At 36.5% G+C, this 15,481-nt stretch overlaps 2 pseudogenes; one reads left to right on the forward strand and one right to left on the reverse strand.

The window, feature by feature from the left end:
- Positions 1-354: 354 nt before the first annotated feature.
- LOC101929943 (tropomyosin alpha-3 chain-like) lies at positions 355-14,626 on the reverse strand (annotated as a pseudogene).
- TPM3P3 (tropomyosin 3 pseudogene 3) lies at positions 12,159-12,689 on the forward strand (annotated as a pseudogene).
- Positions 14,627-15,481: the final 855 nt, after the last annotated feature.

A 15,481-nucleotide genomic window follows, 5' to 3' on the forward strand; every position in this document is an offset into this window, starting at 1 on the left:
GTAATGCATGTATTAATTACCTAGATTTTTGTCATTCCACAATGTATACATACTTCAAAACATCATGTACATTATAAAAACATGCAATGTATCTGAAAATTTAGAAAGTAAGAATAATATTGTAATATAATTTAAATCAATTGAAAAAAGATTGAAGAAACTGGGATCTCACATTAAATATACGCATTCTAAGTTTAAAAAGTATGGTTCAGAGAAAGTAATCAAATTAACCCCAAATCAACAGCTTATTATTACTTTCAAAGCTACCAAGCATTCTAATTAAATACCAGTAGGTATTAAATAGGAAATAAACTGAGAAATGAGGAAATTCCAATAGAGAAATGATAGCATTCATTATTTTCCAAACTTATAGCCATCTGCAAGGTAATTCTGAAAGAACACAACATATGACCAGTGTAAAGACAAATAAAATTGTAACAACAAATACATGAAAAAGAAGAAGCTTAACACAGACACAAACACACACAAAGGTAGCTATGTGAGATAATAAATAGATAATTAGCTTAACTGTGGTGATTGTTTCACAATGCATACTTATATCAAAACATCAGGTTGTACACTCTAAATATATTCAATTTTTATTTGTTAATTATATCTCAATACAGCTGGAGAAAAAAAAAAAAAAGACCTAAAACAGGCAAAACCGCCAGGCAGGCTAAGTGGGGATAGCGGAAGTGGGGGGGATTGCAGAGGCGTCTACTTGGATTGATAGAAATAGTCCACATCTTCATTGTAATGATGGTTACCTGAATATATACACTGTCAAAATTCATTGAACTGTACAATTAAAGATGAGTGAACTTTATTTTATGCAAATTATACCTCAATAAACCTAATTATTATCCCAGAACCTAAAGTTCTTGGGATACATGTGCAGAACGTGCAGGTTTGTTACATAGGTACACATGTGCCATGATGGTTTGCTGCACCCGTCAACCCGTCGTCTACATTAGGTATTTCTCCTAATGCTATCCCTCCCCTAGTCCCCCACCCCCTGACAGGCCCCGGTGTATGATGTTCCCCTCCCTATGTCCATGTGTTCTCATTGTTCAACTCCCACTTATGAGAGAGAACATGCGGTGTTTGGTTTTCTGTTCCTGTGTTAGTTTGCTGAGAATGATGGTTTCCAGCTTCATACATGTCCCTGCAAAAAACAACCTAATTATTTTTTAAAAAATAAATAAGAAGCCAGGCGCGGTGGCTCACGCCTGTAATCCCAGCACTTTGGGAGGCCGAGGCGGGCGGATCACGAGGTCAGGAGATCCAGACCGTCCTGGCTAACATGGTGAAGCCCCGTCTCTACTAAAAATACAAAAAGTTAGCCGGGCGTGGTGGCGGGTGCCTGTAGTCCCAGCTACTTGGGAGGCTGAGGCAGGAGAATGGCGTTAACCCGGGAGGTGGAGCTTGCAGTGAGCCGAGATTAGGCCACTGCACTCCAGCCTGGGTGACAGAGCGAGACTCCATCTCAAAAATAAAATAAAATAAAATAATAAAATAATAAAATAAAATAAGCTTCATCTCCCTGTTGAAAATGAGGAAATATATTTCCCTCCCCTCCTTTTTCTTAGAGAACATACTTTAGAAAAGTTGTAAGTACTTTCCACTCTATTTGAAATGTATATAAATCCTTTTGAAACTAGACAGGCTTTTTGTCAGCTTTATGACCCAGGAATGTCTTTCTCAAGAACCCGGGAGCATTCTCTTTGAAATGTATATATCAAGGGAGATAGCATCCCTATCAGCCAAGTTTAACTTTGGTGGGCACCTTGCTCTTGCAAAGCTACCTTTTTCATAAAGATTTGAGAAGTTTGTTTTTCCTCTGGATAAAACTCATTAGGTAACATAGATGATTATCTCAATTGTCAGGTGAATCTAGGATGAACTGTGTGTGACAAAATGGTGCTCTCAAGTCTTCTTACTTGAGGGCTTGCCTATATAAAACAGTTAGGTTTCTTTCTGTCTTTGCAACCTCTTAGCAGATTGCCTATGATGCATATCACATTTTGGTTTAATGCTTATTTAATCATAAAACTGTGTTCTTTATTTGTTACTTTTGTGGAGAAATTTTTGAGTCAGGAAAACATGTTTCTCTAATACACTTCCCCCAACAGCAGTTAACTGAGAAAGTACATATCTGTTATCAGGATGGCATTAAATCAGGTAAATAAATCATTTAGAACCAATATTTGGTGTAGCAGGAATACTGTCTCTAGTCATTAGCCAGAAATTATTTTCAACTTCTTGAATATAAATTTGGCCTTCATAATATATGAAGAAATATACAAAGTGAGATAGGAATTGTATCAAAATAATTCCAAGTAATTAAAAAGCAAAATGATAGAACAGTTTTATCATTTTAATTAGGCATCTACCTAAGCATCCTGGATAATTAATATTTAAAGGTTGCATAGTACAAAGAAATCAATAAAGTGACTGCTATGAAGCCAGTTGCAAAATGTTTTATCCATCATTTAATCAATTCATTCATTGAACATTTTTCTTTGAGTGACTAATGGGTGATAATCATAATTCTATTTCCTATATTGAATGCATTATAATAAGATATAATGTTTTTAAAGCACCTGAGAATATTAACTGTAGACCGTGATAAGCTGTCTCACAATTTCACCAGTGTGGATAAAAACAGCCTTGACCTAAAGAGATCCATACTAAGGAGAGCATGTGTTTTATTTGACCAACTTCTAAGTGTAAACCCTTGTGTAGAGCTTATTCATTCTACTCCACTCCCCTCCTAATACTAGAAGAAATACAACCTTTAATAAGAAAAAGACATTATTTTTTTAAATTATAAATTAGATAATCAATACTGGTAGAAACAATGTTCACATTGCTGGAAGCTAATTGTGTTTTCTCATTGATCAGCCTGAGCTCTGGATCAACTAGGGTTTTAGCCTTGCTCCCAGACTTACCACCAATACCTTTGAAAAGTAAAATGATTCATTACCAAATGAAAGCCAGAATGCATGACCCAGAATCTGGATTCTCTGAAATAAAACTATTTCAATTTTTTAAAAAATCTATTTCTTTTCTAGCAAAATTTATATTAGATTGCATGACTTTTTAATTTTGCTTTATTTTATCAATTTTGAAGCACTTATTAAGAATAAGGAAATACTTAAAACTTTAAATATTTTTATAAATAAAACATAGTAGAGATCTATATAATCTATCTAATCTATAAACCATAGTAGAGATCTGTATAATCTATATGATCTCTACCATGTGTTAGAATATTGACCTAAAATTATTCAGATAGTTATGTAACTTGACTGATTTATTTATTCATTCATTCTTTTATTTATTCAACACATATTTATCCAATCATATATGGGCAGGTCCTGGCTATGTTAAAATTAAGATAATTTTAGATAAATTAGATAAATAGAAAAGACAATAGATGGCTATACTGTCAAGCTGCCTAAAAGAAAGATCAATAGATGTCTATATAGTCAGAGTTGCCTGAGGACTCAGAAACCTAACATAAGAGAAATGTGTCCAGACCCGAATCCTCAATATTTGCACAGAGAAACTTAATTATGTCATTGCAAGATGATGGCAGGACTCTAGAGAATATGTGAGCCCAATCAAACCAACAGCAACAAATGCTCATTGATTTACAAGACAACTGCTGAAAATATCTGACCTAACGATCCTAGTGATTTTATTCTCTATTAGTGAATAACATGTAAGCAATCAAATTAATTCGAGATTGTTTTGGTATCATAGTAAAGCAAAAGCTCACTTCCACCAAAATTGGGCAGCCTGAATTACTCATCAGAAGAAGAATAAGGTGTGTTCAGTGTGGTGGAGACAATGACTTTTAGAATCAGATAAATCTTGACAAAAACCTTAGCTTCATTCTTTAGTGCTGAGCAATCTCTAGAAAATCTTTTTTTCCTCTGAACTTTCTCATTTGTAAATTTGGTGTGGTTTGTACAGGATATATCAATCTGACATACAGAAAAATTATTTAAATCATGAATAAAATTTCTTGAAGAGGCACCAAAAGGAAAGTCCTTTTATGATATGCAACAAAAACTTCCTAAAATCCTTTATCTCTCTAAATATTCCAGAGGGCAGTGCACCCTGAAGGGTAGTCAGGGCCCTGGAGAAATACTTCTGGTGGGTCTCTGCCAATGTAAACATTTTAATTAAAATAAGTAACACAAAACTCATGGCCCTACATGAGGTATTACTATATATCAATAACAATTTAGACTAGCAGATGGAAAAGCAAGGATTACATAATTGTTTACTGTTCAGTTAAGGCATGCAAAGATCCTCCAGGCATCTTTTTATGTCCAGAAACCATCTCTTCCTGTTCTTTACTTTCAAATGTATTATTACTAGAGAATTTTATATTTATCCCCACAAGAAAAAGTTAATAACACCATTATTACTTACAATGTCATGGCTCTTTGGAACCTATTCATAATGAAGTAGTATGGACCTTCTTATCTCTACAATTCCCTGATACCATTTACTTAACACTGGTTACATCTTTACCCATGATTCTGGATCATCCATCATGGTGTCTTGGTATATTGGCTTCCAATAACTCTCCCAAAAGTTATTGTTGTGCTTCCTGTCTCCACAGAATGCAATCTTAACCATGGAATGAAGAATAAATGAGAAAAATAATTCATTTTCTGATCATGTTAAACTTAACCATTGTAATTTTATTGACTAAACATAGAACACCTCTTCCAGCCATATTTTCTTTTGAAATCTTTAGGCAATAGTAACTGCATTCCTAGAAATTGTTCTCCTTTTTATCATCTTCCTAAGGATTTCTATAATAGCCAGGACCATGAGCATTTTTTTATAGCACTGGACAATGAAACAAATGTTGAAGAGGAGGGCTTTTCTACTTGTTTGCAGACTCACAACAGAAAATGTGTCAATTTTATTAGCAACAAGCTTATTGCAATATGTCACATTGAGACAAATGCAGTTATGAAACATGTAAGAGGCAAAGGTGAAATTCAAATCAGAAAAGAGAGCATTTCTTTTACATAGGATAAGTGATAAATCTACGAGCACTTAAGTAATAGTAGAGAAAATGTCAAGCAAGCACCAGGTGAATGTGCAACATTTTCCAGGACTTTTTAACATATGGCAATCCTGAGCTATTAGAATCCAGAACTACCCTGTCTTATCCAAAATAATTAGTTGAAATATTATAGATACAGTCAATATTATTCTGCATATTTCATTTTACCTTAATAATATTTTGTGCCTCTGATAAATGAAGTTTTTTTAAGCATGATACCTCCTTAGGTGCAAAGTCTGGGGGCTGCACTTTGGTCTAGAAGCCCTAAAGGAAAAGAGTATAGCACCCTGGCCCTCCATCTCTAAACTATCTCCTAAATTCTCAACTGCCAACTCCTCTCCATTTCCTGTTGGCTTCTCATCCCACAGTCCCACTCCTCCTTTTTGCTTTCTGAATTTATTCTTCTTATCCTGGAGTCTTTTGTCAAATTAATCAATTTTACCTTAACCTTATTTATTGCCTTTTGTTTCCACTTTCAGTATTAACCAAATCTATGAAATAAAAGACCTGGAAGCTAGGAGGAGTGCCACAGGAAGTACTGAGAGCACCAACACCCATGAATCCTCAAATATTAACATTCGTGTGCCTGTCATAGGATAGTAACGTTCAACAAATAGTAGTCAGCATTAGCACTACGACATTACACAGGTTGCATATAAGGGTGTTAGCCAGAGTAGATTCTTCCTTAAATTAAGGTAGAATTTAAACTAGAATGACTCAGTTGAAATTTTGACTTTGAATCCTGGGAGAAGTGACTTGACTTCTCTGTGCCTCAGCTTTCTCATCTCCAAAGTGGGGATATTTATCATTTACCCTTCAGTACTTGTTTTAGGGACAGTGCTTGGGCATAGCAAGCATTACACCAGTGTTAACCATTATCATTATATGGGAAATGTTAGCATTTAATAACTTTTTCTGGTTCTCATGACTTGTCAGAAACATTAATTTCCCAGATTATCACTTACCTTACCTGGCTTTTCATTCTCTGGCAGTTTGAAGAGATTTATGGAATCTGCAAGATAATTATCAACACATTTTAGAACATCTCTGGATGGAAACCTCCTGCAGATGGGTATTTTAAGGCATTTTATGTTTAACCATGTTAATTTTTTGATTGATATTGTGTAACTTTTTCTAATTCATTTCCCTAAATTCAAGCAAATACATATTTGTCTAAGACATAATAGGGAAAAATATAATTTAAAAAAATGGTTGCATGTTTGAAAAGTTCCCTTCAGAGTCTATAAAGTACTTATGGCTTAAAATCTGCATGTGCTGTCTAGAAAAAGAAGCATAAGCCACATCCCTGCTTGGCAACTAATTCATCACTTAGATGAGGAGACAAGACATAAGGATAAATATTACAGACTAAACTTCACATAAATGATACAGAAAATGTCATGTGCTAAAATAGTTTGTTGACAAAAGAGAGAAAACACTGATGGTGTGATAGGAAATAAATTGCTGACAGGAATTTATTTTTAGCATTTGGACTGGGTTTTGAATATGCCTTGCATACTGAATTGTATTTAGGACATGATGGTAAAATGTGTAAGTATTGCAAATTCCTGTGGATGTAGGTATAGATTTTGAATCATCATTCTCCTGTGCCCTGGCATAACAATTTAGCATAAGGAGGGGAAATAAACCCAGAAAATGAATACCTTTCATTGATTCAACAAATAATATTCTTGAAGATCTTCACAAGTAGGTGGAATCCCTTAGAGAAAAGCACTGAGTACTTTGTATGAATCTTCAATTAGAATTGATGTTTGTCAAAATACAAAATAGTTACAGTCTAAGACTTTCCATAATAAATCAGTCTAACTATTCTACCCAAGAAGAGAGATCTCCTCTTATGTTTTGTGTTTTTCTTGAATTTTCTGCAAATACATTTGCTCAGTACTAGTATCATGCTTTCTAGACCATATCACCTAGCAATAATCTGTCACATTCCATGATCTTTGAATACCAAATCAAATTCCTCTCCAATTTGGAGACTATAACCAGGTTTCACATAGGATGGAATAATTATTTTTTAGCAGAAATTTATTGCATTGTGCAGTGAAGCCCTTGCTTATCAATCCTGACTTACTTATAGGCATCGTTCTCTTTGTGCTCAAAGGGACTTTGAGTCTTTGTATCTCCAGAAAATATCACCAATCATCAATTTGCCGAACAAATCCTAGATCACTTGGCTTGATGGAATCATCTGGAGAAAGAAAGAAGCCTAATATTTAGTGAATGATCACTACATGCCTTGCATAAGGAGAAATTATTTTATTTAATTTCTAGAAAAAAAAAAAAAAACGGGATAGGCACTGCAATAATTCCTTAAGCCAAAGGCTTTGGATCAGCTTTTCACCTTATAAAACAAAGTTTAGAAAAAAGTTCAGCATTTACACCTCTACCTTGTGGCTGTGTGATCAGGTTTTCTCTACTGGGATGTAAGCACAAAGAATGTGTATGATTTCCGCCTCACATGCTTAAAAGGAAATTGCTTGCCCAGGACGTCTTCTTTTCTCTTTCTCTTCCTCTGAGCTGGAATACAGAAGTGTCAGGGACAAAGCTTAGAGCCAGACTAGGACAATGCTGATGAATGGGTGGACTAAATAGAGAAAGAGAAATCTACTGGGTTTCACAATGATGTAAAGCAGACATGCCCACCAACCTAGACGTGCCTAACTCTTATATGAAAGGAAAGTAAACTTTCATCTTATTTAAGCCACTGCATTTTTTTATGTATCTTTTTGCTACAGCCACTTACCCTTTATCCTTCTAATTAACACAAGTGCCTTTTATCCTGGATGAGCTAGTTACCTAGAATTGGCTTTGAACTTGTGGGTTCTAACGGCATATAGTGTATACTTTATGCTTAGCGCTTGTGCTCCATTGACTAAATTACCTGCAATTTCAATATTATGTGCATAGCATACTGCTGCATTGGTTTTGTTGATGTAGAATTATAATATATGAAATGTGAGCAAACGTTGCAAATGGGGATAATTATCCATTAAATAACTTGATATCCACAAGTTATTTAATAACCACAAAATTATTTAAATGATTAACATTATCTACGGCAAATGTTACCAATAATTTCAATATATCTCTGTGTGATACTAACAATATTAAGAGGAGAATTCCATTGCTTTTGGTTTTTAATAATTGTCTTAAAGTCATTCAATAACTCTATTTAGTGAGCAGGAAGTTTGTTCATACATACAAAAATACACATCTATGAATATAATTTTTATGATAGACATCTCATGTATGTGATTCACATAGGCACCCCAGCAATCCTTCTAGAAGCCATTTGTTTGCTCTAACGTAGAGTTGAAAAATTTTGGCACATACATGAAATTATCACCCTTATTCAATGACTAATAACCCCAAATTCCTACCTTTAGAATTATCCCTTTTGGTTATGATGCTATTTGTAGAATTTTCTTGCTAAATCAAAGGATATGTTTGCTAGCAAGAAGCTAGTAACACCATAGCAAAATTAAAAAGTATGAAGGAGGCATTATGGCCCACACCTGTAATCCCAGCCATTTGGGAGGATGAGGCGGGTGGATCATTTGTGGTCAGGAGTTTGAGACCAGTCTGGCCAACATGGTGAAACACCACATCTACTAAAAATGCAAAAAAATCAGGTGGGCATGGTGGTGCATGCCTGCAATTCCAGCTACTTAGGAGGCTGAGGCAGGAGAATCACTTGAACCAAGGAGATAGTGGTTGCAGTGAACTTAGATTGTACCACAGTCTGGGCAACAGAGTGAGACTCCATCTCAAAGAAAAAATTACGTAGGAATGGTACCAAAGAAAGATACTTTTGCTGTTGATGGAGAAAGATGGTATAATATATGAGGCCAGCTGAGGAAATGTAGATCTGAGTGCTAAGGTTCCATGAAAGGTTTTGATTACTCACATGGGCAGGCATAAAAAGAAACTGATCTATAAAAGCACTAAGAGGGAAAGTAAAGGAGGTAAAATAATGCTTACATCACATTTTGCCTGTTTCTCAGGGTTTCCATATCACACGATATCAAGACCCTTGTTCTAGTTAAATATCTTAGAAGATATATAGCTGACCTCAGCTTCCTGTATTTATTCTCATAAAATAATCACTTCTTAAAAGATAAGTGTGATCTCAAGGGAGAGATTATAGCTAAAAAGATATTGTCCAAGATATTCAGGAAGAATTACTGTATATAAGGTTAGAAGTTAATCTCTGCTACATACCAAGTCTCAAGGGTGGGACAATTCTGAGGCTGTAAGCATTCTCAATCACTTTGATTTATCTCTATGCCTTATAAGTTATAAGAAATTGTTCTGCTAGAGACCATCTCAGATTTGTTATTGCAGATGAGATCACATTTTCCAGTTGACCTGAATTAATCTATAGTTGAGATATGAAAAGAATAGATAAGTATTGTTGGGAGAAGAATATACATATTTGTAGTGGGATTTATGTTCCCCATCCTTAAGGGTAAGGTATCTACATAAAAAAAATTACTTAAATTATTTGAGAGATTTGTTCATTCTCCTACTATTTATATATTAAATCATTTAGTTATATTAGTATGGACTTATGTATATTTATCTTATATTTTGGGTTATATTCCAACATAATTTTATTTTCTTGCTCAATTTTATTTCACCTTTAGCCATTGGGAGCCTTTCAATTGACTTTTGTGTCACATTGACTTGATCTCTTCAATGCTGTGTGTGTGTGTCTGTGTGTGTGTGTGTGTTAGTGATTAGGAAGGAAGATTATTTCTACCATTCAAGTCAACTGCAGCTACATTAATGTAGTTACATAATCATTCTTATTAATTACCATCAAAGCATGCCAATGTTGGGTTTATAGTATTACATTTTTATAATCTCTCTGTCTTCAGAGCTTCCTAGAAATCCTGATACAATTTATGTGGAGTTAGAAACTACCTGGTCTAACTGGGCCAGCAGTTAATCTAAATGAAAACCAAGGGAGGGACTCTACTAGTTCTCAAACTTGGTTGCACATGGAAATCTACTGGTGAACTATAAAAAGTACTAATGCCTCAACTCCAATCTGCAGATCACATTCAAATTCTAATTGTCCCAATAATACCTTTTATAGATCAATTTATTCTGGTTCAAAATCTAGTCCAGTATCACATACTTTATTTAGTTATCATATCTTCTCTTTAGTCTTAAACAGTTCCAGATTTGTCTTTGCTCTCAGGATCTTGACTGTATTGAGGAGTATAATCCAATTATTTTCTAGAATGTCCTTCAATTTTATTTTTTTTCCTGATGTTATCTCATGCTTGAATTTATATTACATATTTTGGCCATGAATAGAAGTGATGTTGTGTCCTTCTCAGTATATCAAAAAGCATAGACAAATTTAAGGCACAGAAAAATGTATTTGTCCTATTTTTGGTGATGTTAACTTTGATCACTTGCTTAAGGTGGTGACTGCCAGGTTTTACCATTTTAAAGATACTTTTATTCCCCCTTGCCGTACCCTGCTCTTTGGAAGTAAATCGTTAAGCATTGTCACAATCTCTATTTTACTCCCTGTATCCTTGACTTCCTGGTTGATTTTTATGAAATTTTCATATATAAAGTTTTACTGTTTGTGCTGTAGGTTCTGTGGGTTTTGATAAATGCAGAGTCATATATTCATGACTCCACTACCATATGGGTTAGTTCCATCACTGTAAAGAATATCCTACGTTTTCCCTAGGAAATCTTCCTTTCTTAATTCCTAAAAACCACTGATCTGATTTTTCATCCCTCTATTTTTGCTTTCTCCAGAATGTCTTATGAGTGCTATATATTCAATATATAGCATTTCTACTCTCTGTTTTTCTCACTTAGCAAGATGTATTTTAGATTAATCCATGTTATTGTGTGGATGAATAGTGTTTTCCATTTCTCTGGCTGAAGACTTCTCCCATGATATATAACACGGTGTGTTTATCCATTCACTTATTGAAGGACATCTTGGTTTCTTCCAATTTTTAGTAATTATGAATAAAGCTGCCATAAACCTTCACATACAGGTTTTTGGGTTAACATAAGTTTTCATATAAGTTGAGTTAATATCTAGGAGCTAGTCTATGATTAATATTATTAAAAACTAGGAAACTGTCTTCCTAAGGAGCTGTATCATTTTTGCATTCCTATCAGCAGTAGAGGACAGTACCCTTGTTCCAAATCCTTAACAGAATTTTGTATTATCAGTTTGCTTTTTTCTTTTAAATATTCTAATATTTATGTAGTGGCACCTCATCGTTTTGTCCTTTGCCTTTTCCTTAATGACCAATGATGTTGAACATATTTTCATGCATACTTGCCATTTTTTATATTCCTTGGTGAAGTATTCTATATTTATTTTCCCCGTTTTTAAAATTGAGCTGTTTGTTTTCTTATTGTTGAGTTTTAAGACTTCTTCATATATTCCAGATATAAATCCTTCATCACACATGTGATTTGCAAATATTTTCTCCCAGTCTGTGACTTGTCATTTATTTTTGCTTTTATTATTATTTTTAGTTGACATATAATAATTGTACATATTTATGAGGTGAGTGTGATATTTTGATACATGTATACAATGTGTAAAGATCAAATCAGGGTGATTAGCATATCCATCACCTCACCTCAAATATTGATCATTTCTTTGTGTTGGAAACATTCAAAATCTCCTTTTCCAGCTATTTGAAAACATAACACTAAAACTTATTTCTCCTACCTAGCTGTACCGTCCCATCCATTAACCAATCTTTGGCTATTCCCCCTTTTCCCCTATCCTTCCCTGCCTCACTAACCACTGTTCTAATCTCTACTTCACCTTAACATAAGGGGCACATGACCCATTGTGTGAGCTGTTGGAAAGCGGGTAGAGATAGGACAAAAATTTGTCTCAGAGGTCTCACCATCTTAATTTGCTCACTTCTAATGAAGAAAGTAAAAAAATATAAATAAAGTTACCCAAAGACACCTTAAAGCTGAAAACCTGGTCCATCATTCTGATTGGCTCATCCACCTTTAGGCAACAGGACTCATAATTATTGAAGGAGACTTGGAATCCACAGAGAAAGGAGCTGAGCTGGCAGAGTCCTGTTGCCTAAAGGTGGATGAGCCAATCAGAATGATGGACCAGAACCTGAAATGTCTGTGTGTTGCCGAAGAAAAGCACTCTCAAAAAGAAGCCAAATAAGAGGAAGAGATCAAGATTCTTACTGATAAACTCAAGGAGCCAGCATTTCATGCAGGTTTTGCTGAGAAATGAGCAGCCAAGCTGGAAAAGACAATTGATGATTTGGAAGATAAACTGAAATGCACCAAAGAGAAGCACCTCTGTATACAAAGGATGCTGGACTAGACTCTGCTTGAAGGAAATGTGGAGCACCCTGGTCCAACCCTGCCGCTGCTCTTCCCTCTGCCGCTGACTCCTTTGGAGGCCAGGCTTTCCCAAGCTGACATTGAAACTGAGGGCTGATCTTTAACTGGAAGGCTGCTTTCTCCTTTCACCACCCCTCCACCCATCTGTGTCTTTTTCACCAAACTGTCTCTGCCTGGTTCCAGAGATTCCAGCGGCATTAGAAGCTAAGCACCTATAGGAACAACATTGAACGGAATGCAAGAACAATGCAAGATGTCTTTAATAGCATGTTGTGATGTAAACACTTTGGTTTTTCTTTTTTTGTTGTTGTTTTTTGTTGTTGGTGGTGGTTTTGTGTGTTTGTTTGTTTGTTTGTTTTTTGAGACAGGGTCTCACTGAAATGCCTAGACTGCAGTGCAGGGTTGCAATCGCTGCTCACTGCAGCCTAAACTTCCCATGGTCAGGTGATCCTCCCACCTCAGCCTTCCAAGTAGCTGAGACTACAGGCGTGCTCCACCATACCTGGCTAATTTTTGTATTTTTTGTTGAGACAGAGTCTCGCCATGTTGCCCAGGCTGATCTCAAACTCCTGAGCTCAAGCCATCTGCCCCCCTTGCCTCTCAAACTGCCGTGATTACAAGTGTGAGCCATGTCACCCTGCCCTACACTTCGTAATTACTTTTTTTTGTTGTTTTGCAGCAACTGTTTGTAAACTATTCCAGATAATTCTACAGCTTTGAAACAGCAATGTAATTCTTTCCTCACTTTTGGAAGGTGGCTTTTCAGCTTAATGCATATTACCCTCACCATAAAGGAGGGAAGACTATATGGGCCTACCTTACTGAGAACCAGAGCTCCGGGAAAGACTCCACCACAGGAAACCTCATTGTTCTGCACAAAGTACCAGACAAACCAGAAAGGTGATTCCAGGAGAAGTTACCCAAACAACAACATATAATAACTTGTTGTTATATTCACCGTATAGTACTCTAAAACAACAGGATTCTGCCAGCTCAGCTCCTTTCTCTGTGGATTCCAAGTCTCCTTCAATAATTACCAATATATAAACCACTTCTTCACACTTCCTATCTGCCTTTTCTTCAATATGCTTAGCTTCTTTGAGTTGGATTTCCCGGAGTTCCATCTTTCCTTCGTCTTCTTTTCTTCCTCTTTCTGTTTTTCTTTCTTCCCTCTCTCTCTCTCTTTTTTTTTTTTTTTTTTTTTTTTGAGATAGGGTCTCATTCCAATGCCTAGGTTGGAGAGCAGTGGCATGATCTCAGCCTACTGCAGCCTCGACTTCCTCTGCTGAGGTGACCCACTGACCTCAGCCTCCCAAGTAGCTTGGACTACAAGCGTGTGCCACAAGGACAACTATTTTTTTTTTTTTTTGGTATTTTTTAATAGAGATGGGGGTTTCCCATGTTGCCTGGGCTGGCCTCGAACTCCTGGGCTCAAGTGATCTGCTGGCCTTGGCCTTCCAAAGTGCTGTGATTACAGGCGTGAGCCACCATGCCTTGCCTTTCCTTCATCTTTTAATGCCCAGTTTTCAATAACCTTTATACCTTTCTTACTTTTTTTTTTTTTTTTTTTTTTTTTTGAGATGGAGTTTCTCTCTTGTTGTCCAGGCTGGAGTACAATGGCTTGATCTCGGCTCACCACAACCTCCGCCTCCCGGATTCAAGTGATTCTCCTGGCTCAGACTCCCAAGTAGCTGGGATTATAGGCATGTGCCACCATACCTGGCTAACTTTGTATATTTAGTAGAGACGGAGTTACTCCAGGTTGGTCAGGCTGGTCTCGAACCCCTGACCTCAGGTGATCTGCCCGCCTCGGCCTCCCAAAGTGTTGGGATTACAGGCATGAGCACTGTGCCTGGCCTATACCTTTCTTACTCTTATCAGAAGCTTTTCCCACTTCTTCCAGCTTTTGCAGGGCAGTGGCCACACACTCCTGAGTGTGATCCTGCTCATCTTCAACCAGTTGGACCCTAAGGTTCAAGGAGGCTTCTCAGCCTCAGCCTATTCCTGGGACTGCCTTTCTCCCTACACTTCTCACTGGAAGCACTTGGCTCTCTCCTCAGCATCATCAGCCTGTTGCTGCAGAGCTGGGGTCTCCAGCTTTATCGCTTTGATGGTGGTGGTCCCAGCCATGGTGACCATTCAGCTGCTGCTCACACTTCCATTCCTGCCTCTTCCTTATCAGTGGTGTTGTGCATTTATCTATTCTTTTGAGAGATGTTTATTAAGCTCATTTTCCCATTTTTAAATCAGACTATTTGTTTTTCTGTTTGTTTTTGTTTTTTTTTTTGAGCAGTGTCTTATTTTCAGGCACTACAAGGTGCTCCAGGATCATCTTGTGTATTTCCTGACCCAGATTTCTACAATGATCTCTGGTTCCTTTTATTAAAGAATAGTGTTAGAAATCAAGATCTGGGTGCTGTGTAGTTGACTCACTTTTTTTTTTTTCTTAAGAGTTGGAGGTCTTGCTATGTTGCCTGGAATGGTATCAAAATCCTGGGCTCAAGCAATCCTCCTGCTTCAGCCTCCCAAGTCTCCCAAGTGGCTGGGACGCAAGTGCCACCACGGTCAGCTTAACTACTCCCCTTGTGAAAATCTTAGCTCTATTCATTTCTCAAGCACTGAGAATTTCTGATCGTATGTATTGTTTCAGGTTATGCTGTGCCCACCCCTCAAATGTTGATTTTCTAAAAATCCACAATCCCTGTGCTGTTCATTCTACATGCTATTTGAAGGAGTTTATCTATTTTCTTGTCTTACATTACTGCCTGAAGCTGCTGGCTCCCAAATCTGTTCCTTGATCCTGACTCTTACCCTGAAGTAAAGACTCCAACTGCCTGATGAGCATAAATAATTGAATTCCACAGGTGCCTTAACCCAGACATTCCAAAATTGAATCCACCATCTTTCCCTTACTAAATCAGCTACTCCTGTTTTCCTAATCTCCATTAATACCACTACTGTCTACCCAGCCAACTCACCAGTCAT

This window comes from Homo sapiens, chromosome 8, assembly GCF_000001405.40.
Source record: "Homo sapiens chromosome 8, GRCh38.p14 Primary Assembly".
NCBI classification, from domain to species: domain Eukaryota; kingdom Metazoa; phylum Chordata; class Mammalia; order Primates; family Hominidae; genus Homo; species Homo sapiens.